The following is a 25,818-nucleotide window of genomic DNA, read 5'->3' as shown; positions in this document are numbered from 1 at the left end:
CTTCTTTCCTTCTCCAAGTTCTTTATTTTATTAACAACCAAAATCTTCACATAAAGTGTGTCCACTAGAAAAATGCTCCCCCTAAATGGTTCACTCAAGCACACAGAAGTTACTCCACTCGGGGCTAATTGAGTTAATAGGGAAGTGTGTAATCTAGGATGGGTTAAACTGGTTCTCTAGAAACTTTACGATTCAGAAACAGGAAAAACGAAAGATTTAGGATATTGTGTTTTTACTTTTGTTAAGTAACAGTTCTGCTATAACCAGGAGGTTTTTATGGATCCTACTTTATTTGTTTGTTTTTGAGACAGAGTCTTGCTCTTGTCACCCAGGCTGGAGTGCAGTGGCGACGCGATCTCGGCTCACTGCAAGCTCTGCCTCCCGAGTTCATGCCATTCTCCTGCCTTAGCCTCCCTGGGAGTAGCTGGGACTAAAGGTGCCTGCCACCACGCCCAACTAATTTTTTTATATTTTTAGTAGAGATGAGGTTTCACCCTGTTAGCCAGGATGGTCTCGATCTTCTGACCTCGTGATCCACCCACCTTGGCCTCCCAAAGTGCTGGGATTACAGGCGTGAGCCAACGCACCCGGCCCAGATCCTACTTTATACAAGGGAAATGTGGTAAGGTTTGTAACTTTCCTACTAATTTTGATCACTGCAGTGCTTTGCCAGCAATGGTGGCAGACTGAAACCAGGTAGCAGCAACTTGCCTCCTTTAAATCAGTTGCTTTTAAAGCTGATCTATCCTTCAGAGATTATCTAATCCTAATAATCTTTTAAATCTAAAATTCTCAAGTATAAATACTAATCAAAAGATGCTGAGCTGGATAAATTCAGGAAAAATTCCTGGCCAATCCCTTTTTACGACCTGGTGCTAAAGCAATTCTACCAGTTTGAACGACGTTCCTTTCCTTTGCTCTCTCCATTTGTCATGGGAATGAAGGGATCACTCCTATGCTGATGTGAAGTGTGAAAACCCTTCCATCAGAAAGTTTCTTGTACATGTGAATAAAACATGCCACCAAACCTTCGGGTGGCCTCCCTGCTTCTAACAGCTAAGCAACCTTGAGAACGCATCCGTTCTTTCCCTCTTCTCAAGACAGCTGTGTGGACTGAATGGCACTCTCCTGCTTCCTTCGGACTAAGGGGCTCTTGCAAATTGTAACTACCTAGATTGCTCTCATCTCCATGGCTAGTGAGTACTGGCACTACCTGGCTATGGAACCATCTGTCCAATCACCTCTCTTGACCTGTCTGGGCTTCAGTCTCATCTGTGAAACAAAAGGGGCCTGACTGGGTACCTCCGGAAGACCCCCTTCCACCCCAGAAAGTCTACCTAATAGAGACTTGACAACAGAAACTAAAGAGCTTCAAAATTAAGTTCTAGTAGCTGGACGTGGCAGCTCATGCCTGTAGTCCAAGCTCCTTGAGAAGCTGAGGCTAGAGGAACACTTGGGCCCAAACTACCAAAAAAAAAAAAAAAAATTGCTGGGCGTGGTGGCTCACGCTTGTACTCAGGAGCCTGAGGTGGGAGGATTCCTTGAGCCTAAGAAGTTGAGGCTGCAGTGAGCCGTGACCATGGCACTGAATTTAGCCTAGGCAACACGGGCTAAGAGTGCAAAACAAACAACAACAACAGAACAAGTAGTAAGTTCTGGGCTGAGCCAGGGTGCCCATTCCAGACTCCAACTATGTAACTATAAAGAATTAAGGTGATTTTTCTTAGGTTTAGATCAACCTCAAAATACAGAACCTGGATGATGCTGGACATTTGCAATCCCCCCATGAATGGTAGGTTTTAAAAGATTCTGCAGATGCAGTAGCCAGAAAAAAATCCTGGTCAGAACAGGTAGTGGCCGGTATGGCAGCGAAAGGCAGGGTGCCCTGAGCCGACACCAGAGCCCTCCTGTGACCAGCCTTGAGAGCCCAGATATACAAATGAAAGGGGTCTCTGAATGCAATCCCTGCTTGGTATCATTTTACACAGGATCGATGCAGTTCTAAGTACCCAGAACACACTGTGGTTTCAGAAGAGCCAGTGCTTTCACAGCTCCAGGCCGCCTGCAACAGAGATGGGGACAGGGAGCACCCAAATGGTTGATAATAAAAAGCTACCAGTGAGTAAAAGAATGGCCTCAATGTGCTCGTTATTAGTAAACAATGAATTTTTAAAAGAATGCATTGTCCAAAAACTATAAAATGAAATCCACTTTTATAAACCTTCCAGCTAAAAGTTGGAGCAGAACTTTGGTAGGATTTCATGCTTCATTTAGAAGCTCCATGTCTCATCTAACCACAATTTGAAACTGAAAAACCACAATTTTAGAGCTGTTAAAACAATCGATAGGTAAGGATGTGCATGGATGTAATTCTCTCTGAAACAGGTGTAAAATTATTTTTAAGGAAATAAACTGGAGCTGTGTGGAGGGTCCTATAGCCAGAAATGTGGTAGTAGCCATGAACAGCGGCTCCCGGGAAAGGGGGGAAGGGACTGGGAAGAACAGGTCGTCTAGCAGCAGGAATTCCAGGGCCTGTTTGGGGCTTCCCGGGCAGATGCACAGACACGCCCCCTCGGGCCTGGCGACAATCCGGCTGCCCCAGCTAAATGGAGGAGGCTTGACCTCTGACCCTGCAAGTGACCACCCTCTTCCCTGCCCCCAGCTTCCAGAACGTCCCACCCATTGCCTTCCTCTCCCCAAAATCTAGAATACCAGGCAGAGACAAAGACCTAGGAATGTGAGCCCAGCAGGAAAGGAACGGGCGGGAGACTAGGCCGGGAGGAATGGGGGAGGGAGGTTAAAGGAAAATAAATAAATAAAAATACAAAGTAGGCATGTTTGTACCTTAGCCAGTGTTTAAATAAAATGCTTTGTTAATGAACGTGTGTGCACGCATGTGTGCACATGCAAATGCACGTGCACCCAGGCTTCTGGAATCTAGATTTTACACTATCTGTGGCCCAACAAGGAACACACACACCAAGGGACATCTGAAAGAATGAGCTTCAGGTTTAAAACACAACTACCCCTATCAGTGAAGAATGTAAGCTGAAAGGACAGAGGAAGGCCCAGATTGCCATTTAAGTTCATCGAAATGTCTCAACTAAAATACATAAACTGCTGTAAACTTTTTAAAGATTAGTTTGGTATCCCTTAAAATGACTGAGGACATTTACTTGGGCTCCCACAAACCAAGGCTGAACCGCTGACACCTGGCTAGATCTCCACCCACCCAAGAGGGTTTCTGAGTTTCCCACTACAGAAGTAAAGTGGAGGCAACAACAGGTTCCAGAAGCAAATGAGGCCCAGAAGAAGCCTTACCTGTGTGTGCTACTCTGCAGGTTCTCACGTGGGACAACACAAGATTCGTTTTAAAAATGATAAGCCAAGTTCAAGGAGGTAAAATCTAGCCATGAAATAAGTCTATTAAGTAATATTAAAACAACGCTTTACTTGACTGAGATAGACTGAGTGCTTGTGCTCAAATCTGCAGCCCAAACCCTCAGCAGAAGCCTCTCCTGTAGCCCTGGCCACGTGCTGCCCCACAACTATGGCCTGGATAAATATAGGAAAGGAATAGGGACCCAGTTCAGGCATAGTCCTCACCAGTTCAAGACAACAGAGCCCCGCTGCAGACACATTATCCTTTCTGTGGTGGGAGTATGAGGAGGGAGTGTTTCCAAAACACTTTTTATTTGGCTAGGTAACAAGTATTTGTTCAAATGCAGAAAGTAATACAAGCAAACAGTTTTTTAAAAAAAAAAAAAACCCTAATGTCTCACTCAATTGTCTCCACTTTAACCATGAAAAAAAAAAAAGCTTTATTCTAGGCGTAACTTAGTTTTTTAAGACAAAACAAAGTTTCTCTTAACTATATTAACTTGGAGAATGTTCTGGGTCACTCCGTGCAGAGATGCCTGGCTTTCCGAATGGCTGCATGGTATGTTGCTATATGAATGTACCACAACTTAATGAGTATAGGCTAATAAAATTGTAAAACTGTTTCCTGATTTTTGAAAAATCGCAAGCAGTGCCACAGTTAACATCCTTGTTCTTTACAGAATCCCTAGTTTTCAATTTGGTAATATATTCAATTGTTACATCACTTGATATAATGGTTATTGGGGGAAACCTACTTGCAAGCTTGGATAGTAAGAATTCCCGAATTCTTTTTAGTCAGGTCGACCTTCACCCATGTGAAGGGCAAAGTACCAGTTTCTGTTCTCAACACAACCAAAAACAAAAGGCCAGCAGGGGATGCCAGGAGAGGCAGTCAGTATGGACACAGTTCACAGTTGGAATTGGAGTTAAGATCTACTCCTGCTTGGGTGGAAGGCTTTGATGGGTGCCAACATTGAAAAGGGGCCTACAAGAGGAGCAGTCCAAGGAAAGAAAAAGTCTTGTTGTGTTGCGTTCTGGCAGTCTCAGCAGCGTCTGTTAAATAAGATTAAGCGGGGCTGCTTCATGGTATCTCTAGAAATTGAAGGAATCTCAGGCAATAAAAAAAGGGGTGTTAGGAATTAAAACACACACACCACACACAAGCAATTAACACACACACCCTGAGGCCCACAATCCCCTTTCTGCAACTCCAACATCCAAGACGATGCTCTGGAAAACAAAAGTTGTTCCATATACTATTTGGCAGCAAAACTGATGTGCAACACGGTACTATAGTTATTATAGTATTTTTGACAATCACTGAGTACATTTTTATGTGTTCTCACCACAAAAAAATAAGTATGTGAGGCAATGCATGTTAATTAGCTCAATATACATACTCTACAATGCATACAGACTTCAAAACATGTTGTACACAATAAATATGTAAGATTCTGGCTGGGGATGCTGGTTTAGGTCTACAATACCAGCACTTTGGGAGGCCAAGACAAAAGGATCACTTGAGCACAGGAGATGAAGGCTATAGTGAGCCATGATCGCACCGCCGCACTCCAGCCTAGGCCACAGAGCCCGAGACCCTGTCTCAAAAATATGTATGTATATATACACACATACACACACACACAAATTTTTGTCAATAAAATAATTTTAAAAACTGAAACTGGTGTGAAAATGATCAATCATTTTTACCTATGTCATTTAGTAAATGTTTATGTATTTCACTGCAAAACTAATGTTCTTTTGCAGTCCCATTATATGTATTATGTAAATGCACAGTATTAAACGTACACATGTAATACTGTCTGGCTGAACAAGATTCATTCCCAGGCTAAACAAGCAATATAACATGTGAAGATCTAAAAAAGAGGAGGGGGAGGGGGGTGGTAAAAGTGGGAGTGTCCAAGAACAATCTGCAGTGGGGTCAGAGGCATCTACTCATCTCAAATTTAAATGTTTGGGCTCCATGGACAAGACAATTTGAAAGGAAAACTTGAAATCAGAGAGGGATGCCGTTATCTCTGCATCTGAACTCATCGCAACTGCTGGTACCCAGGGAGAGGTATAGTTTGACAAACATAAAATGTCATCTGTTAGCACTTGTTCACTTTAAGTTTTTATGTGACTCCAAAAACCACACCATGCTCCCTTCTTCCCTAATTTTCTTTAAAAATTCTTCACTACCACTGACTGCTGCTCCCCAAAAAGTTGCCATTACTCCTCTCCAACAGCAGCCAACCAACCACACCTCGCAAGCCCCTGCTCCCCCAATGCCCCATTCTACAAGACTTCCAAAACACTGCGTAGGTTCCTTCTATCACCTGCTCCCCTGCTTGTGGGACCAGGCCCCACAATCACACAGGCCCTTGGTGAAGTGGTCCAGCTTCACAAGTCCCTGAATTATTTTCCATCGACACGGCCCTGTCCAAAGTCTCGGAGCCTCAACATACTCCAGTAGCACACCACCATGTCTAGGTGTTTCTCCTGAACACACAGCTCTTACTAATAACACACAAAACACAAAGCATTGATCAGGCGTGGTGGCTCACGCCTGTAATCCCAGAACTTTGGGAGTGCGAAGAGGGCAGATCACTTGTTGACTAGCCTGGCCAACATGGTGAAACCCTGCCTCTACTAAAAATACAAAAATTAGTGTGGGGGCAGGCCCTGTAATCCTAGCTACTCGGGAGGCTGAGGCAGAATAGATTGAACCCAGGGGGCAGAGATTGCAGTGAGGCGAGATCACGCCACTGCACTCCAGCCCAGGAGACAGAGCAAGACTCCATCTCAAAACAGAACAAATAAACAACCAAACAAAAAGGCCTGGTGCAGTGGTTCACGCCTGTAATCCTAGTACAGGCGCATGCCTGTAATCCATCTCCAAAAAAAAAACAAAAATCCTGGAAGCATCATGTTTTAAAAGTAAGTCATGTTGTACATGGTGGCTCACGCCTGTAATCCCAGCACTTTGGGAGGCTGAGGCAGGCAGATCACTGGAGGTCAGGAGTTTGAGACCAGCCTGGCCAACATGGCAAAACCCATCTCCTCTAAATACACAAAAATTAGCCAGGCGTAGTGACGGGCATCAGTAATCTCAACTACTCAGGAGGCTGAGGCAGGAGAATCGCTTGAGCCCAGGAGGCAGAGGTTGCAGTGAGCCAAAATCTCCACTGCCTCCAGCCTGGGTGACAGAACAAGTCAGACTCTGTCTTAAAAAAAAAAAAAAAAAAAAAAAAAAAAGGTGGGGCGGGGGGGGGGGGGGGCCGGCGGGCGGCAAATTAAAAGGTCCAGATAGTGAAAGTGACTAAATTCTGTTTACAGAGTTGAATGCTGGAATTTGGCTGGGCTTACTTGCTGACTTGATAAAAAGAGAAACAGCCTCATTTCTGGCTCACAGGAACTATCAGAACTATTAAAAGTGTGAAAATGAGTTCATCCTGGAAGAAAATCATTTTCCCCCAGCAATGACTCTCTTAAGGAAGATGAAAACCCAGATAAGAACAATGCCCTGGGCAGCACAGCAAACGCCTTCGACCAGTTTTGGCAGAGTCAGACAAAGTAGTTTCATGAATATGTCTCTTGCTGCCGCCCAACCCACACAGCCATCAGTGTGGCCTGAGAAAGGGTGGTGTAACTCGTGTATGTAGTTTTCCGTGATTCTGACCCTCCGCAGGCTGCAACAGTGGGTTTTTTGGTTTGTTTTTGTTTGCTTGTTTTTTGTTTTTTTGAGATGGAATCTTGCTCTGTCCCCTACGCTGGACTGCAGTGGTGTGATCTCAGCTAACTGCAACCTCCAACCCCCGAGTTCAAGTGATTCTCCTGCCGCAGCCTCCTGAGTAGCTGGGACTACAGGCGCGTGCCACCACACCCAGCTAATTTTTTGTATTTTTAGTAGAGACGGGGTTTCATCGTGTTAGCCAGGATGGTCTCAATCTCCTGACCTCATGATCCGACTGCCTCGGCCTCCCAAAGTGCTGGAATTACAGGCGTGAGCCACTGCGCCTGGCCCTGCTACAGTGAGTTTTACAGGGCAGGAGCAATCCTCCAGGTGAACCATAAGGGGCAGAGGTCGAGGTAAAAGGAGAGGAGGGGATTCCGGCAGGGAAAATGACAGGCACCCCCCATGTTGAGCTAAAATTAGCACTTCTCCAGACCTTTGTGAACACACACACACACACACACACACACACACACACACACACACACACACCACTTAATTTTTAAAAGTATAATCATGATGTTGCAAAATACCAACTGGGGGACAACACACATGCCAAGTGGGGGAAGAGGGATGCATACTGGGGAATGTAGCTATGCCTGACATTTCCTTTACCCAGACTATCCACTCTACACCGGACCTGAGCCTGAGCCCTGAGGGCAGACGGCAGACACTCATGCTCTGCCCCTGGGGGCACTGGGGTGTCAGGACCCTGTTGACATCCTGCATCCTGCCTTTCAAAGCAGGGGATCTCGAATAAACAACACGTCCTCCACACTCTGCCTCTGGCGAACCCAGCGGGCACCAGCTCCCTAGGCCCTTTGGACTTACTTGACTCCCAGATCAGAATCTGCTTTTTGGGCTGGCACCTTGTTATCTTCACCCACCCCACACAGCTTGAGGCAAACTCATGGCCCACCAGCCCACCACCTTCAGTTTCTCACACATTTCCTGAAGGCTCTGCAATAAAAGGGCATCTTCCTAAGAGTGCCACACCTGTGCTTGGGGTGTCCTCTAACAGATCCAAGTTACACTACACAATACTCAGTGACAGCTTAGAAAATGCCAGAGTTGTGTTTTGGATTACTGCCTCCCAAATATAGTTTTGAACAAATAAAAACTTGATAGCTACTCAGAAGGCTGAGGTGGGAGGATTGCTTGAGCCCAAGGAGTTCAAAGTTACATCAAAGTTACAGCAAGTTATGATCATTCCACTGCACTCCAGCTTGGGCAACAGAAACCCTGCCTCAATCAATCAGTCTTGGATGTTTAAAAGTAAAAACAAAACTTCCACATCAACATACACCGTGGTACATACACACAACAGGATGTTTGTCAGTAACTACACACAAGAAGTTCAGGCGTGGTGGCTCATGCCTGTAATCCCAGCACTTTTGAGAGGCCGAGGCGGGTGGACCATTTTTAGTCAGGAGTTTGAGACCAGCCTGGCCAACATAGTGAAACCCCATCTCTACTAAAAATACAAAAGTTAGCCAGGCCTGGTGGTGGGCACCTGTGGTTCCAGCTACTCAAGAAGCTGAGGCAGGAGAATTGCTTGAACCCGGGAGGCAGAGGCTGCAGTGAGCCAAGATCTCACCACTGCACTCCAGCCTGGGTGACAGAGGAGACTCCGTCTCAAAAAAACAAAAACAAAAACAAATAAATAAATATACCTACATACAAGAAGCTTAAAGGCACTAAGACTGGTGAAAAAGCTAAAATCAAGAGAATATATTGCATAACTCCATTTATTAATATATGAAGATAAAACTCAACGTGGAAGAAAACAACAGTAGTTGCAGGTGAGAACGAGGGTGAACTAGAGGGACCCCAAGGGAATCCTTCTGGAATTAGAGAAAATCTATATCTTGATGCGAGGATTGATTACACAGGTATATATAAATCATCAAAAGTCAAAATGTACACTTAGCCCGGCCAACAAAGACCCTGTCTCTACAAAAGAATTAAAAATTAACCAAGCATGGTGGGGCATGCCTATAGTCACAGCTGAGGCAGAAGGATGGCTTGATGAGCCCAAGAGTTCGAGGCTGCTGTGAGCCATGTATGCACCACCGCAGTCAGCCTGGCTCAAGCCAGACACAGCAAGACCAGCTCCAAAAAAAAAAAAAAAAAAAAAAAAAAGGTTCAATTAATACTCCTCCCTCCCAAAAGTGAGGGGAGAATCCTTCCACTGACAACCTAAGTTGTTGAGGGGGTGATGCTTGGAGCTTGGCCACAGCGCAGCACTCTTCATAGCTAAGGACCTAATAAAATACTCATGGAGCCCATAAATGAGTTAACTCCAATGGCCCCACATAATTTACTTCTAATAGGTTGCTACCATTTTTTCCACAATGTTCCCATTAGGTATTATTTTTCCTCTGCCCTCTACTATAAATATTATCTTAAGTTATATCTCGCAAGAGGCAACCTCCCTGGAGGTTTTGAAAAAATTAGAACCCTGAGTCCCGATTTACAGCACCACAGGCGGCCAGCGGTCATACAAAGCCATATGAAATCATTAGTGTCCCAGCTGCCGCCCCGGCATGCATCTGACCTCTGATGTATTAATGAGTGGCCCATGCAGCTTCCAGCAGCAAATAAAAGAGATTTGTTCCAACACTGAGATCACTGCCCATGTAAATTATATATTTTTAAACTGGACACGAAAGACAGATTTGGACGTAGACACACAAGTTTTCCAGCTGCCTCCAAGGTTGCAAAAGCAAGGCAAGGTTTTAATCTGTTGTGCTATGGACAAGAGTCAGTGGTACTTTGGGGCTGACATTTAAAAAATGGTCAGACTCTGTAGGTGGCCATGTAACTCAGTCCTCGCCTCTTAAACAGCGGGCAACAGTGTACACCTGAAACCCTTTCAGTTCCTAAAGAAGCCAAGTAGGTTTCAATCACCCATGTGGCTGAGATGGTGTAGAAAGGCAGAATTTTTTAAAGCAAGGGAAGGCACTCATCACCTGGGTAAAACTGTCCTGAGAAGAGAAGCAGAAATACAGACTCAGATGAGAATACACTAGTAATAAAAACTGTTAGTAAATATTACTAGTCACATTTTCTACCTTTAACACAACCGAGCACTTCCCTCCTCTCTGCAAGTTCCATCATCTTGTGTCCTTGTCCCCTGCATTACTTAGTTGCCTTCTGTCTTGATTAGGGTTAGTGAATCAAGGTTACACTGTCCTATTGGTTGATAAGGCCTAGAGCCAGTTACCTTTCTAGGCAATGCCTCCCACCTGCTCCCCTCCTCCCCCAAAAATCAAGCAGTTAAGATATTACTATAGAAATTTTGTTTTAATACAGAGTTGTTCACAGGCAGTAATTATTTTAAATTGGGAAGTGACCAATCCTGGGAAGCAGTGGATAGCACACACGTGGCCTCTGTGAATTCTCTGAATGCCAAGAAGTACCCGTGCTGCACTGGGATTGCCGAGGCTCAGGTGGGGTGTGGGGGTGTGGAAGAGTGGGTGCTGGGGCATGTCTGTGAATTACGGAGATTTGTCTCCAAGTCCCAAGTCTGGGCTCTTCTATGGCATTCCCCAAAACTGCACCTGTCAAGGAGAGTATTAAAGAGAGAAGCCAGACACACTCTCCCAGTACCTCATCTTCCCCCCGACATTCCAGCAATTACAAGAGCCTTTCTTGACATCTTTCTCTGTAAGTAAAAGGCAAAATGAGCGAGAGCAGAGCAAACATCTTCAGTGCAAAAGCAGGTGAAAGAGGGATGCTTAGTCTTATAAAGAAAATGATTTTTATTTTTTTGTAGAGACAGGAACTCACTTTGTTGCCCAGGCTGGTCTTGAACTCCGGAGTGTTCCTCCCACCTTGGCCTGCCGAGGTGTTTGGATTACAGGCGTGAGCCACCGCGCCTGGCCAACAATTTATTTATTTATTGGCTGGGCACGGTGGCTCATGCCTGTAATCCCAGCACTTTGGGAGGCCAAGGTAGGTGGATCACCTGAGGCCAGGAGTTCGAGACCAGCCTGGCCAACATTGTGAAGCATGCCTGTAATCCCAGCTACTCAGGAGGCTGAGGCAGGAGAATTGCTTGAACCTGGAGGCGGAGGTTGCAGTGAGCCGAGATCGTGCCACTGCACTCTGGCCTGGGCAACAGAGACTCCATCTCAAGAAAAAAAAAAAGATTATTTACTTTATTTTATTGAGACAGTCTTGCTCTGGCTGGAGTACAATGACACGATCTCAACTCACTGCAACCTCTGCCTCCCGGGATCAAGCGATTCTCCTGCCTCAGCCTCCAGAGTAGCTGGGACTACAGGCACGTGCCACAACACCTGGCTAATTTTTGAATTTTCAGTAGAGATGGGGTTTCAGCATGTTGGCCAGGCTGGTCTCAAACTCCTGCACTCAAGCGATCTGCCTGCCTCGGCCTCCCAAAGTGCTGGGATTACAGGCATGAGCCACCGCGCCCAGCCCCACGATTTATTTTTAAAAACCCTTTTCAAGTTAGTGTTTGTAGCCTCTACTCCAAAAGTGGGAAACCTACCCTGCAGACACCTCTACAAATGTCAAAGGGGCAACAGGCCAGCCACGCAGAGCCCAGGCCAGGCCAGGCAGCCTGCTTTAGGAGCTTCTGAGATGGAAGCTACCTATCTGTCCCCTACACAGGGGAGTAACCTGAGGAAGGTGGGCCCCACGGCTGTGATCTAGGCAGTTACTGGGCAGGTTAAGAGTCGTCCCACCTCCCCAAGAGAAACTCCAAACTGTAGAGAGCAATGGTGATCTTCTCTTACCAACCATCAATAATCTAGAGGGTCCTGGGTAGAGCAATGAGGAGAGTAGGGCAACTGAAATGAGGCATAAAAGGCAAAATACCTCAAATTTAAAGGCCTTTTTAAAGAAAGGTGTGAGGGGTCAGGTGCAGTAGCTCACGTCTGTAATCCCAGCACTTTGGGAGTCCGAGGCAGGTGGATCACCTGAGGTCAGGAGTTCGAGACCGGCCTGGCCACAGCGAAACCCTGTATCTATTAAAAATACAAAATATAGCTGGGCGTGGTGGTGGGCGCCTGTAATCCCAACTACTTGGGAGGCTGAGGCAGGAGAATTGCTTGAACCCGGGAAGTGGAGGTTGCAGTGAGCAGAGATCGCACCATTGCACTCCAGCCTGGTTGACAAGAGTGAAATTCCATCAGAGAGGGAAGGGGAGGAGAGGGGAGGGGAGAGGGGAGGGAAGAGGGGAGGGGAGGAGAGGAGAGGGAAGGGGAGAGAAGAGGGGAGGAGAGAACAGGAGGAGAGGGGAGGGAGAAAGAGAAAGCACAACAAAGGGTGGGCCAAAGGGCCTAGGCAAACCAGAAGAAACTGGCCCAACAGGGAACAGAACTGGGTGGCAGGAAAGCTGGATTCCTTAGGTGGTATGACCTGAGGAAGAAGGGCCCAGCCCATGCAGGAATCACATGGGGATAAACCCACCCACCGCAAAAAGATCAATTCAGCTGCCAAACCAGGAACCATGTTACTGGGCTTCACTAAGGACAGAAATAAAGTCCCAGTCCCTTGGCTGCTCCCCATCCCTCTTCCCACCAGTGTGCACAGTCCACTACAAAGAAGCAGTCATTACAGCAGGATGTAAGCAAAGACCAAGTGAAGTGACCCCTGGAAAGCCAGGGAACCCAGGCACCCAGGCCAGCGGCATTCCGGGCAGGGAAATGTCAACTAAATGGTAATAAGATACAATCAGAAGAAAGACCAACATTTGGGGAAACTGTATGCAAAACCACTGGAATCAAACCCCTCTCCAGAACCCCAAAGTTGGCCAGGCACAGTGGCTCACGCCTGTAATCTCAACACTTTGGCAGGCCAAGGCAGGCGGATCACCTGAAGTCAGGAGTTCAAGAACCAGCCTGGCCAATGGTGAAACCCCATCTCTACTAAAAAAACACAATTAGCCAGGCATGTTGATGTGTGCCTGTAATCCCAGCTTCTTGGGAGGCTGAGGCAGGAGAATCGTTTGAACCCAGGAGACAAAGGTTGCAGTGAGCCGACATCACGCCACTGCACTCCACCCAGGCAATAAAGCGAGACACTGTCTCCAAAAGAAAAAAGAAAACCCTAAAATCGCGGTACCACTCATCATGTTTTTCCTCTTTTTGCAAATGATGGTAATGAAAAATAATTTCAAGTCTCAGGTATGAATGTTAATCAGAAATCCTACCTCATTCCAACAAATGAAGCTTGTTGGATGCTCAAGCGTGCTGTTCGACAGAACTTGTGAAACAGGAAACAGGCACCCACTGCCCAGACTGAGCAGGTCACGAAGCCAGGAGAAACCCCACACTTCTGCCCTATAAAAGTGGTGAGGGGCAGAGCCTCACCATCCACCCCATCAGATACACAAGGGTAAACTTCACAAAGATGGGAAAAGCCAGACCTGCTATGGTGGGAAAAAGAAAATTCACAAGCTCTTAGCTGGTGAAACAATCAGGTGGTTTCAGTTACATAATCGAAGTTTTCAGGAGACTTTTCTAAGCCCTCAAATTAGTCTTTACTTGGGTCCTGAAATTCCTGTCTTGCTCCATCTGGCCCTGAACAAGTCACCCTTACTTTGTCTATCACTTAAAGTCAGGAAAAGGTGATACACATGGCACAAGAAACCTAAATATTTGGCTCTGTCCTTCCCCCAAATTGTTCTGAGGCCCTACGTGGCTTTCCTTAGTCTTTCCACAATACTCATCCCACTGCATCTAAAACTCTTCCCCAAGAAGAGGTGGCCAGGGAGGCTCAGGCTGTTCAGCTGGGCCTCCCGGCTCTCCCAGAACTTCCTCCTGGGCCTCCAACTCCATCTGTTTTAGAGACAGCTCTTAAAGTTGGTCTGTACTCAGACTCAGAGACTATGAGGCCACAGTATCCTGGCCTCATAGTCAAGTGTGCTGTGTTCACTGCTAATTTTTAAACTATTTACATCGGATTTAAGACTGTGCTAAAAGCCTTGAAAGAAAAAACAACTTGAGAAGCTTCTATTCCCAGAGCTGTTCGACCGTCAGTCTGGGCAGGTTTGCTCACGATGTCTAGGCTTAACTGTTAACAGAACCCCTTTCACTCTCACCCATGGCCTGATTTGGAAAATATACCCCTGCTAGAGAGGATCAGTAAGACAAATGAGGAACTAACCAAAATACAGTTGACCCTTGAACAACACGGGTTTGAAACACAAGGGTCCACTTATACATAGATTTTCTTCTACCTCTGCCACCCCTAAGACAGCAAGACTAAACCCTCCTCTCTCTCTTCCTCCTCAGCCTACTCAAAAGACAAGGAGGATGAAGACCTTTATAATGATCTACTTCCACTTAAATAGTAAACACGTTTTCTTCTTCTTTTTGTGTCCCGCCCCTCACCCCGAGACTGAGTCTCACTCTATCACCCAGGCTAGAGTGCAGTGGTGCGATCTCGGCTTGCTGCAGCCTCCGCCTCCTGGGTTCAAGCGATTCTCATGCCTCAGCCTCCAGAGTAGCTGAGATCACAGGCACCCACTACCACACCCGGCTAATTTTTGTGTTTTTAGTACAGACACGGTTTCGCCATGTTGGCCAGGCTGGTCTTGAACTCCTGACCTCAAGTGATCCACCTGCGTCGGCCTCCTGAAGTGCTGGGATTACAGGCATGAGCCACTGCACCTGGCCATTATTATTTTCTTAGTAACATTTTTTTCTATCTTACTTTATTGAAGAATATAGCAGCACATAATACATGTAACATACAAATAATACATAATACATGTATTAATTGACTTTATATTATCTGTAAGAATTCTAGTCAACAGCATACTATATAGGTTTTGGGGAGTCTACACACAAATTTGACTGTACAGGGCGTCAGCGCCCCTAACCCCCCACATTGTTCAAGGGTGAATTAATTGCACATGAGGCCAGTTAGAAAAAAATTGCTTGCTAAAAATGGCTAGAAATTTTGCACAGAATGACTCCAAGAAGAACTTCAGCCACTGCCTAGGAGACACTGCAGTAGCATGCCCTTGTGCTAAGCAGGTAAATCAGAAATAGCTTCTCAGGGAGAATGGGACAGACCCAGGAGGACTGAGGTGGAAGATTTACAAATCTGCCAGTTAAAAGGAACAGCTTGAGCAAAGAAGCATGCTATTCCTGACCAAAGTGCAGAGGAAGAATTCGAAGTAAAACAGAGGGAACAGGGGACCCAGGGAAAGCTCCTGAAGAGAAGTGTGTACATGGCAGTTGGGTGACCTTGAGGGGCCAGAGGTTAGTGATTGTTCCAGCCACGTGGAAGGAGGCCAGGACACAACTTTGGGCCAACTTGTGTTGTGGAGTCAGAAAACCCGGGTTCAAATGTTGAGTGGTCCTTCTCCAGCAATTTTGGATAAGCTGGCTCACTGAGCTGTTTTCACCCATAAATGGGGATACTACATTTCCTCTCGGGGTGGTGGTGGAGAATTCATCCTGAGAGTACATGAAACCCAAAAATGTCCGTGGCAGTTCCAGAAAGAAAAGGCGTGGTCATGAGCCCGTAAGGGTTCCAGCCTGGTAAGTGGCAAGGCAAGTTAAATCACAGTGTTTGCAAGGCAGGACTGACAATGAGCCAAGAAGGCACTCCTGCCCCGGGTTCTCCAGGTTACTTTGTTTGCTCGTTGAAAAGAACGTTGAGAGATTTCATAAATAAGATTGGGAGAAAGCATGCTGAATGATGACCTCTGACCCTACATGTCCCAAATTCCTCTGCAGGAGGCCAGTGACTCCACTCTTATTCATGTCCAGTCAAAACAGCCTTTCACCCCTTTCACCTTCCACCAACAGAGGTCCTATTTTTAACATCCAGTACATTTCCTTATTGCCTCATGCTTGGCACTATGATGTCCTTGCCCTCAAAGTGTTATCAGTCTAAAAGAAGGGACAACTGAATAAGGCCAGCTGAGATGTAATCTCAGAGAACTTCCTGGAGGAGGAGAAGTCAAGTCTTAAAGTGCAAGTAGGGATGGGGGGGCAGGGGAGCGGTGAAAGTTCCAGGTAAAGAAAACTATTAGAGGGCCAGGTGCGGTGGCTCACGCCTGTAATCCCAGCACTTTGGGAGGCCGAGGCAGGCGGATCACGAGGTCAGGAGATCGAGACCATCCTGGCTAACATGGTGAAACCCCGTCTCCACTAAAAATACAAAAAAATAGCCGGGCGTGGTGGCGGGCACCTGTAGTCCCAGCTACTCCGGAGGCTGAGGCAGGAGAACGGTGTGAACCCAGGAGGCGGAGCTTGCAGTGAGCCCAGATTGCGCCACTGCACTCCAGCCTGAGTGACAGAGCGAGACTCCGTCTCAAACAAACAAAAAAGCAAAAATAAATAAATAAATAAATAAATAAAACTATTAGAGAAAACTAGGTACCTTCTAGCTCTGCCTAAGTCAGCACCAACAATGAACTCCAATCCAGGCTCTGCTCAGATGGTGCCTGTAGGAGAGGCCAGCTACCCATCTTGGGGCATCTCTCCTGTATGCTGTCCCTCTGAACTGTGGGTTGTTTTATAAACAGTACAGAAGCAGCTCATTAGCCCTGTGTACCACATAGGGCATCCCTTCCCTCACCACTTAAACCACATGTCAGCTTATACTGGGGTCTCTCTGAGATCCTTCCTCCTCTCTCTCAGCCAGGGTCTCCCTCCTGCTGTGCTCCCCAAAACCACCATCCCTGAAGATGAACCTTCATTCTGGGACATGTCCCTCTAGGGAACACTGCTTCTCCCAGATACTTTCCAGAGAACCGACAGGCTGAGGATCTGTCTCCTTCCTGCCCTAGTGTGTTCCCCATGTAGCAGCAAAAGAGGAGGGCTAGAGACAGGTCAGAGACATATCACGCCACACCCCTCTTTAAAACCCTCCAGAGGCTCCCCCACTTCACTCCTGGGGGTCACTGTGCCCACAGCGTTTGGCTGGGCCATCCTGGACTCCCTGCTATTCCCTCTGCCTGAAAGCCATGCCCTCCCCCACCCCACAGTGGCCCCATACCTACCTCCCTAGACACTTTCCCCACTACTAAACACAACACTGGTACCCCTCACTTCCACCCCCTTACCCGACTTAACTTTCCTCAAAGCCCTTTTCAATCCCTGAAAATGTGTATCTAGTCACGTTCATTTGAATTTAAGTACAGTAGTTCCCTCTTATCCTTGGGGGATACGTCCAAGACCCCCAGTGGATGCCTGAAAGCACGGATAGTACCAAACCCTATATATACTATGTTTTTCACTATACATATATACTTATGATAAAATGTAATTTATAAATTAGGCACAGTAAGAAGAGTAACAACAACCAATATTAAAATAGAACAATTATAACAATATATTGTGTAACAACATACTGTGTTATATGAATGTGGTATCTCTCTCTCCCAAAATACTGTGTGCTGCACTCACCTCTTTTCCAACTGTGGCTGACCGTGGGTAAGGGAGATCACTGTACAACGAAGGCTGGAACTGACTTTTCCGTCTTGTTCACTGCTTCATTCCAAGCATCTAAGTGTCTGGCACATGGATGCTCAATACCCATTTGAACAAACAGAAGGAAGGAAATAACGGCTTATGCAATAGCTCTATTTAAGTGGGTGGTTAGCACTGTATCCCATCAGCATCAAACTGTGGCCAGAAAATGATAATCAAAACACCATTCTCATCTATTAAAGAACATAAAACAACTTTGTGAGGAGTTGGAGCTGAGGGCTAGAAAGATTTAGCCAGATGATGCCTTGTTTCCTCCTTGAGTAAGGCCTAGGGAATGAAGACGATATTCAAACTAAGGTTCCTTCCAGTTCTGCACACAGCTAATTCCATCAAAATCTCATTCATGGATTACATTCCAGAGCCTTGGTCAAGTGGGTAGCCACAGAGAACCAGAGGAAAACTCAGGTTTCCATGAGCTGGTCACAACCTCTCAGAGCCTGAACAGCCTAAGCAATGTCCAGAAGCATCTTTACATGTATATGTCCATGAATGAGGTGTCTCTCCAGAAACAACTATCTCTAAGAATGTGCTAGAGAACAAAACTATTAAAATGGGAATGTAGGCCAGGCACGCAGTGGCTTACGTGTGTAATCCCAGCACTTTGGGAAGCCGAGATGAGCAGACCACTTGAGTCAAGGAGTTTGAGACCACCCTGGTCAATATAGTGAGACCTCTGAGTCTCTACAAAAAAATTTAAAAAATTAGCCAGGCATGGTGGCACATGCCTGTCATTCCAGATACTTGGGAGGCTCAGGCATGAGAATTACTTGAACCCAGGAGGCAGAGGTTGCTGTGAGCCAAGATCGCCCAAAGGGGCCAACACCAAGACTTTTCTTTCCTTTTTTTTTTTTTGAGATGGGAGTCTCGCTCTGTCACCCAGGCTGGAGTGCAGTGGCGTGGTCTCAGCTCATTGCAACCCCCGCCTCTTGAGTTCAAATGATTCTCCTGCCTCAGCCTCCTGAGTAGCTGGGTCTACAGGCACACGCCATGCCTGGCTAATTTTTGTATTTTTAGTCGAGATAGGGTTTCACTCTGTTGGTCAGACTGCTCTTAAACTCCTGGCCTCAAGTGATCTGCCTGCCTTGGCCTCCCAAAGTGCTGGGATCACAGGCGTGAGCCACCGCACCAGGCCTCCCACAAACTTTTGACAAAACCAAACTCCAGACTTGACAAACTTACCACGGGCTATCTCAGCACAAACTTTTAACTTCCATTTCTCCTCAGGAAAAAGGGTGTCCCTTCTCTAGTAAAAACACTTGCAAGCTACAAGACAATCTTTAGATGTTCATCCAGGCAGGAATGAAGCACTTCCTTAAAAATAGGTGATTTATAGCACCACATGAGACTGGAAGCAAACTAAATGTCCATTAATAGAGTACTAGTTAATAATGGTTAAATAAATTGATTCCAGGGCAACCATTAAAAAGAATGAGATATTCTGGCCGGGTGTGGTGGCTCATGCCTGTAATCCCAGCACTTTGGGAGGCTCAGGTGGGCGGATCACGAGGTCAGGAGATCGAGACCATCCTGGCCAACATGGTGAAACCCCATCTCAACTAAAAATACAAACAAATTAGCTGGGTGTGGTGGCATGCACCTGTAATCCCAGCTACTCGGGAGGCTGAGGCAGGAGAATCGCTTGAACCCAGGAGGCGGAGGTTGCAGTGAGCTGAGATGGTGCCACTGCAGTACAGCCTGGGTGACAGAGTGAGACTGTCTCAAAAAAAAAAAAAAAAGAGAGAGAGAGAGAGAAATAATCTCCAAGATACATTATTATGGAAAAAATACAGAAGACAGTAATGTATACATATATTTACTATTTGTGAAAAAGAAGAAAAATGGATACAAGTATTCCTTGGTAACCAAATCTATAGTAAGGGGGTCCCTGTCAAGTGTTTGCATGTCACAGAACAAAATTTCATACTTTTTATTCACACCAAACTGGGGTGTGTTTGTGTAGCTACTTAGAATTTAATTGCAAATACCTTTTGCTATTCTCTTCGTGTTCCTAAAATATTTTCCAAGACAAAGCTACATGTTTCATTATTGCTTATACTAAATACCAGATAAAGTTTGTTTTTGTTTTTTTTTTTTTTTAAAAGACAGTATACAAATATAAACCTTCCTCTACCCAGTTAGAGTTCTGTAATCCTCAGGCAGAGGCAATTCTACCTGTGTGCCATCAACCACTGCTAAATTCAGCTGCTTTCTTTTTTTCATTACTTCCAAACTCAAGAACCCTCAATGGCTCCCTATCCCCTACAGGTCAAGAATAAATGCCTGCTGGGTTTAACAAGCCTGACTTTAATAGCACATTCCCATAGCTCCCTAAAATGAGCCTAGCACAAGAAGACCTCTCTGGCAAAATGCTCTTGTCTTGCTTTGGGTCCGTTTCTAAGTTCTCACATCTGAGAGCCCCACTCTCCTATCACTGCATTTGTTTGAACCACTGTTTTGCTTCCCAATACTTCAAATTTCTACACAACACCCTCAGGCATAAACCCAGTAGTGGACATATGGAGAAGCTGGAGAAACCTATTTATCTGCCTCCCAACCCCCACCCTCCCTCTGGTCAGAGAAAGGAACACAGCCCTCAATGTCCTTCTCCAGGATGTGCCTCCGGCGCTCCAGTTTAGGCCGTGACACTGTCCCTGTCCCCAATTTCATTCATGGCCCCACAATCCAAAAGGCTACCCCCCAGGGAATCTGTGACCAGTTTGGTCCAAGGCCGAGGACCGACCATAAAACAGCCTGGTCCAAGCTGGCAGCAGGTCCAATATAGAGCCTTTGTTCCCACAGGACCCCTCGGGCACGCTCCAGAGGGTTTTGGGTACTTCTCTCTCCTGAATAGTTGTTCCCAAGTGGGAAGTGAACAGAAAATTCCTTTCCTGCCTACCCCACAAAAGAAAGCTGTTGCTATGCCTAAGTGATAACATCAGCTTTCCTTTCTCTCTTTTGCAATTTTGATACTCTTCAGACCTGTTTTGCCACCTGAAATTTAAGTTTGAAATAATTAAGTTTCCCAAGATTAATGTCACACAGTAGAACTGCCCCAACCCTTTCAAAGTTGCCAGTTCAGGCAGGGCGTGGTGGCTCAAACCTGTAAACCCAGCACTTTGGGAGGCCAAGGCAGGCAGACCACCTGAGATTAGGAGTTAGAGACCAGCCTGGCCAACATGGTGAAGCCCCATCTCTACTAAAAATACAACAATTAGCCAGGCGTAGTGGCGGGCACTTGTAATCCCAGCTACTCGGGAGGCTGAGGCAGGAAAATCGCTTGAACCTGGGAGGCGACGGTAGCAGTGAGCTGAGATCACACCACTGTAACTACAGCCTTGGCGACAGAGCAAGACTGTCTCAAAAAAAACAAAAACAAAAACAAAAAACAAAGTTTCCAGTTTGCCAGTTCACTTTCATTAATTAAAGGTGAGGAGGACAACGCTAAGTCTTCAAAGAACTTAGCTGGGTGGATTCAGTTAAGGAGAGAAATATACCAATCAGTGAATTCTGCATATTCTCCTTATCCTCCTCATTGGCTTGGCCATTTGTTCATTGTATTCCACTCTATTACCAACTGTATTCAGTTCTTTTACTAATTGTAGCCTGAAATTCAAATTTCACCATCTACTTAAGAAATTTTCTAAAAAGTGAGAGTGAGGAGGAAATTGAGACGTAAGGCTTATCAAAAAGAACAAACTTTTTTCCCCACAGCCCGAGAAACACAAGGTTTTAAAATGTGTAAGCTGAACCAGTAACATTTCCATAGTCACAGTGAGAAAGCGGAGCTTTCTAAAAAGCTTGACAGAACCATAAGAAAACAAAACAGGAAAGTGGAGAGGCTTGTTTTGAAAAATAATAATTTGTTTTTCATTTTGTGTATTTTGATAGAGAACACCTTTTCTATTTAAACCCCTCCCCAACCTGCACCTCAGGATGTCTCATTAGAATGAGGTGGGTGGTGGGGGTGGAGAATGACTTGAGATTTCGGGATCTGATCAATGCAACATGTTAGGGGCAGAGCACAAGGTCAAAAGGAAATGATTAATCCCACAAGAGAAACAGGCGGATAGGGCAGCGAATGGTCCCCCCTACAAAACCCTCACTAACAAGCCGGTCAAGATACCCTGCTTAGCAGCGTTCTCTCCATCCTGCACTCAGTATTTCAGCTTAAAATTCAAAGAATGTTCATCTACACAAGCTAGTCTTCCTTAAAGGTTATTTTTATTTGCTGTTATGTTCCAGTGGTTGCAAAAGAAGGTCGAGAATTAAGCAGGAGAGAGAATGACTCTAGTCATCAGGATGACTAAAACATTCTATGACAATCTGACAATTTCCATTCCTGGAGGGAGCCATGCTGATCATTAATGGAGGACGGAGTATTTTGGGCCTATTTAAAAGCAGTTACCAGTCAAGACATACAATATCCCTTTGAAATACTATGACATCAACACTCTGAAAGTACATAAATAGGTCAAACACAAGAGGAGGGGGAAGGGAAATGCCTTTTGCAAAAATCCTTTGGGAAACAATTTCCTCTTAGCTTTTCACCCTCCCTAATGCTTGCTTTTAGAGAATTGCACACAAAAAAAAATCTGTATTCCCAATTAGCAATGCAAACTTCACCCGCTAACCACCACATCCTCCTATAGAAAACCCTAGATTTGCCACAGGATTAGTATTTTAAACTCAGATGCCTCAACACCTTTCTGTCCCACTACCTGCCTTTGGAAAAGAGGCACGGAACGGAGGGAGACTGGAAGACAACGAACCTCCATGCCACAGGGCCTAAATTCTGAAACCATCCAGATGCGTGGGGTTTTGTTTCATTTTTGGCAATACATAATTAACAGATGACTATCTTGCTTTGAAAGACACTGAAGACATACCCCAAGAACGCTTTGAGCCACACAATCTTAGGAGCTAGATAGGAGCTACCTTCAATTTGTGTGCACAACTTGTGACAATCTCAGGGCCTGGCAACCCCTCAATTAGTGTGCAAAATTTTGAGCGTGCAGTTCTTTCTGGAGAGAAAGTACACAGGTCAGATTCTTAAAGGGGTTCTTGACAAAAAAGTTAAGAATCCATAGCCAATGCACCCAACTCTTACCCCACCGGACAAAAAAAGTGGAAGGGGAAGGAGGCTTGTTTACCTGGTAAAACAGCCACAGTTTAATTAAGAAATAAGGATTAGAACTCCAGGCCCTAGGCCAGGCTCACGCCTGTAAATCCCAGCACTTTGGGAGGCTGAGGCGGGTGGATCACTTGAGGCCAGGAGTTCGAGACCAGCCCAGCCAACATGACAAAACCCCATCTCTACTAAAAATACAAAAATTAGCTGGACGTGGTGGTGCACGCCTGTAATCCCAGCTACTGGGGAAGCTGAGGCAGGAGAACTGCTTGAAGCCTGGAGGCCGAGGTTGCAGTGAGCTCAGATCGCACCATTACATTCCAGCCTGGGTAACAGAGCAAGGCTCTGTCTCAAAAGAAAAAAAAAACCAAAAAAACTCCAGGCCCTATGCAAGATCCTTCCTCTAACCACACTGTTTAAAAATTAGTCCTGGGGGAAACTGCAGTGCCAGCGTTTCTAATCTAAGGCAGGTAAATGAACTCGCTCTACCTTCACCATGAAACAATGTTTAACTACCAAGTAGTAGCTCCACAAGACTGGGTTCCTTCTGACCTTATCCATCCAAACTGAGGGGCTTATTTTCCAACATAACAGCTTTTTAAATTCACTTGCAGTTATCATGCCCTTAAGTCCCCTGTCCACTTAGTACCCCCAGCTTAAGGCTCCCCTGACTGCCCAGGGCCAGGATCCCATGTTTTCCCATTTCCTAAAATAAGAGTGTTTGAAAAAATTTAAATATCATCTTAACCTCTCTCCAACCCTAGACCCCCAGAGCTTCAGGGAACTCATTGAATAGGGGTGAGGGATTGGGGTTTAGGGGCTTAGGGATGTGTCTGGCAGGGCTCTGAAATCCACAAGTTTCCACTGCTCCATGACACTACCACATGAAAGCTCAGCTTTCTGGTTGTCCTGTGACCTCAAGTCTCAGCTAACCAAGGTGATTCCCGCCATCCCCAGACTCCACTGGGTCCACAGCCTGGCCACTGCCCCAGGTTTCATTCAGCTGGCCAAGGCTGGTGTTTTAAAGGGCAAAAATGAAGAGGCATCAGGCATTTTAAAACTGCCTGGCTCAAGGGAAAAATAACCTCAGGACCCTAATCATAGACAAAACTAGGGGTATTTTTGAGCCTCGTTTCCCAAAAAGAACCATAAAAAGAAAACAGTATTAAGAAATATGAGATAAAGAGATAGCAGAGAATTAGCAAAGACAATCCCCTTATTTCTTCGGAGGGAACCTTCCACAACGGCTTCATGCCCTGATGATTCAGGCCCCCACCCCTCCAGGGAAGAGGGGTGGTTATCAGGGAAAGAAGTGACAAGACCAGCTGACTTCTGCAGACAAGATAAGAGTTTATGGGCCAGACCTTGCAAAACTCCCTTGGCAGGATTCCTCTGACCTGTAGAACTAAGAGGGCAGAAAGAAATGCACACTACCCTGGGGTGCACAACTGTCAAAACTCACCATATATTCAGATCTGTGCATTTCATCATGCGCACAGTATAGCATAAGTATCTACCTATCATTTCTATTTAACAAATTAAAAATCTAAGGCAAAGAGATTAACTCACATGAGGTCACACAGTATTAAGTGGCTCTTTGCCATGCTTGTATAAAGTACAGTCGTCTCTCGTTATCTGTGGAAGACTGCGTGTCCAGGACCCCCTTGGATACCAAAATCCAAGGATACTCAAGTTCCTTATATAAATGGTGTAGTATTTGCAGACAACCCATGAACATCCTCCCATATACTTTAAATCATTTCTAGATTGGTTATGAATATCTAGTACAATGTAAATATTATGTCAATAACTATACTGCATTTGAAATTTTTATTGCCTTATTTCTAATATTTTCAATCCACAGTTGGTTGAGCCCATAAATATATAAAACATTACACTCCCAAAACAAAACAAAAAACCAGCCCCATATTGAGAGCCAGCTAAGCCAAGACTCAGAGGCAAATGTGGGAGGAGGCCAACTCCAGGCGAATCTCTGCTTGTCAGCACATTCATTTGTCACATATGGAAAGGCCTGCATTTAACTGAGCACAAAGCTGAGCTCAAGACAGATAGTCAATGTGTACTTGCCAAATGTAAGGATACAGTAAGTCAGGCACTGGCCTGGATGCTTCCCTGTATCAACTCATTTAAAATGCACAACCTTAAAGTTAGTACAGCCATTATGGAGCCAAGGGCACAGAGGTTCCTCAGAAAGTTAAAAACAGCACTACCCTGGCTGGGTGCGGTGGCTCACACCTGTAATCCCGGCACTTTGGGAGGCCAAGGCAGGCGGATCACCTGAAGTCGGGAGTTTGAGACCAGCCTGACCAACGTGGAGAAACCTCTCTCTACTAAAAATACAAAATTAGCGGGACATGGTGGCACGTGCCTGTAATCCCAGCTACTCGGGAGGTGGAGGCAGGAGAATCACTTGGACCCGGGACGCGGAGGTTGCGGTGTGCTGAGATTGCGCCATTGCACTCCAGCCTGGGCAACAAGAGCAAAACTCAGTCTCAAAAAAAAAAAAAAAAAAAAAAATTGCTGGACCTGGCGGCGAGAGCCTGTAGTCCAAGCTGCTCCAGAGCATAAGGCAGGAGAATCGCTTGAACCTGGGAGGCGGAGGTTGCAGAGATGGTGCCACTGCACTCCAGCCTGGGTGACAGAAACTCAAACAAAACAAAACAAAAACAGAACTTCCACATGATCCAGCAATCCCACTTCTGGGTATATATACCCCAAATAACTGAAATCAGTATGTCAAAGAGCTATCTGTCCTCTCATATTCACTGCAGCATTGTTTACAAGACAGCAAAATGTGCCATATATGCATGGGTGAATACTATTCAGCCTTTAAAAGGAAGGAAATCCTGTCATTTGCAACAACTGGGATGAAACTGGAGGTTATTATGCTAAGTGAAACAAGCCAGGCACAGAAAGACAGACACCACATGATGTCACTTATATATGGAATCTAAAAAAGCTAATCTCATAGAAGTAGAGAGAAGAGAACTAGAGTAGAAGTAGAGAGTAGAATATCAGAGGCTGGGGTTGGAGCGGGGGGCTGGGGACAGGGGTGGGTGCAGGGGAGGGGC

At 45.7% G+C, this 25,818-nt stretch overlaps 1 protein-coding gene across 1 annotated transcript in view, besides 7 other annotated features; it reads right to left on the bottom strand.

Annotated features, from left to right (window-relative positions):
* Positions 1-25,818, bottom strand: part of TRIM71 (tripartite motif containing 71) — a 79,828-nt gene that overhangs the window by 25,370 nt on the left and 28,640 nt on the right. The window lies entirely within an intron of this gene.
* Positions 2,167-2,970: an enhancer, noted in NCBI's record as "OCT4-NANOG-H3K27ac-H3K4me1 hESC enhancer chr3:32910977-32911780 (GRCh37/hg19 assembly coordinates)". NCBI's record gives its function as "activates a minimal SCP1, AML or CMV promoter by ChIP-STARR-seq in primed H9 embryonic stem cells {active_cell/tissue: H9 hESC(primed)}" and the evidence as "EXISTENCE:reporter gene assay evidence [ECO:0000049][PMID:30033119]".
* Positions 7,627-8,391: an enhancer, noted in NCBI's record as "H3K4me1 hESC enhancer chr3:32905556-32906320 (GRCh37/hg19 assembly coordinates)". NCBI's record gives its function as "activates a minimal SCP1, AML or CMV promoter by ChIP-STARR-seq in naive H9 embryonic stem cells {active_cell/tissue: H9 hESC(naive)}" and the evidence as "EXISTENCE:reporter gene assay evidence [ECO:0000049][PMID:30033119]".
* Positions 11,036-11,640: an enhancer, noted in NCBI's record as "H3K27ac-H3K4me1 hESC enhancer chr3:32902307-32902911 (GRCh37/hg19 assembly coordinates)". NCBI's record gives its function as "activates a minimal SCP1, AML or CMV promoter by ChIP-STARR-seq in naive H9 embryonic stem cells {active_cell/tissue: H9 hESC(naive)}" and the evidence as "EXISTENCE:reporter gene assay evidence [ECO:0000049][PMID:30033119]".
* Positions 15,427-16,102: an enhancer, noted in NCBI's record as "H3K4me1 hESC enhancer chr3:32897845-32898520 (GRCh37/hg19 assembly coordinates)". NCBI's record gives its function as "activates a minimal SCP1, AML or CMV promoter by ChIP-STARR-seq in primed H9 embryonic stem cells {active_cell/tissue: H9 hESC(primed)}" and the evidence as "EXISTENCE:reporter gene assay evidence [ECO:0000049][PMID:30033119]".
* Positions 18,131-18,640: an enhancer, noted in NCBI's record as "H3K4me1 hESC enhancer chr3:32895307-32895816 (GRCh37/hg19 assembly coordinates)". NCBI's record gives its function as "activates a minimal SCP1, AML or CMV promoter by ChIP-STARR-seq in naive H9 embryonic stem cells {active_cell/tissue: H9 hESC(naive)}" and the evidence as "EXISTENCE:reporter gene assay evidence [ECO:0000049][PMID:30033119]".
* Positions 24,570-25,150: an enhancer, noted in NCBI's record as "H3K4me1 hESC enhancer chr3:32888797-32889377 (GRCh37/hg19 assembly coordinates)". NCBI's record gives its function as "activates a minimal SCP1, AML or CMV promoter by ChIP-STARR-seq in primed H9 embryonic stem cells {active_cell/tissue: H9 hESC(primed)}" and the evidence as "EXISTENCE:reporter gene assay evidence [ECO:0000049][PMID:30033119]".
* Positions 24,624-24,918: a silencer, noted in NCBI's record as "tiled region #1778; K562 Repressive DNase unmatched - State 20:ReprD". NCBI's record gives its function as "represses a minimal TATA promoter and a strong SV40 promoter by Sharpr-MPRA in K562 cells {active_cell/tissue: K562}" and the evidence as "EXISTENCE:reporter gene assay evidence [ECO:0000049][PMID:27701403]".

The sequence above is a fragment of the Homo sapiens genome, chromosome 3 (assembly GCF_000001405.40).
Source record: "Homo sapiens chromosome 3, GRCh38.p14 Primary Assembly".
Classification (NCBI taxonomy): domain Eukaryota; kingdom Metazoa; phylum Chordata; class Mammalia; order Primates; family Hominidae; genus Homo; species Homo sapiens.
Note: the sequence above shows the minus strand (reverse complement) of the source record. Positions and strands in the feature narration are given on the sequence as shown.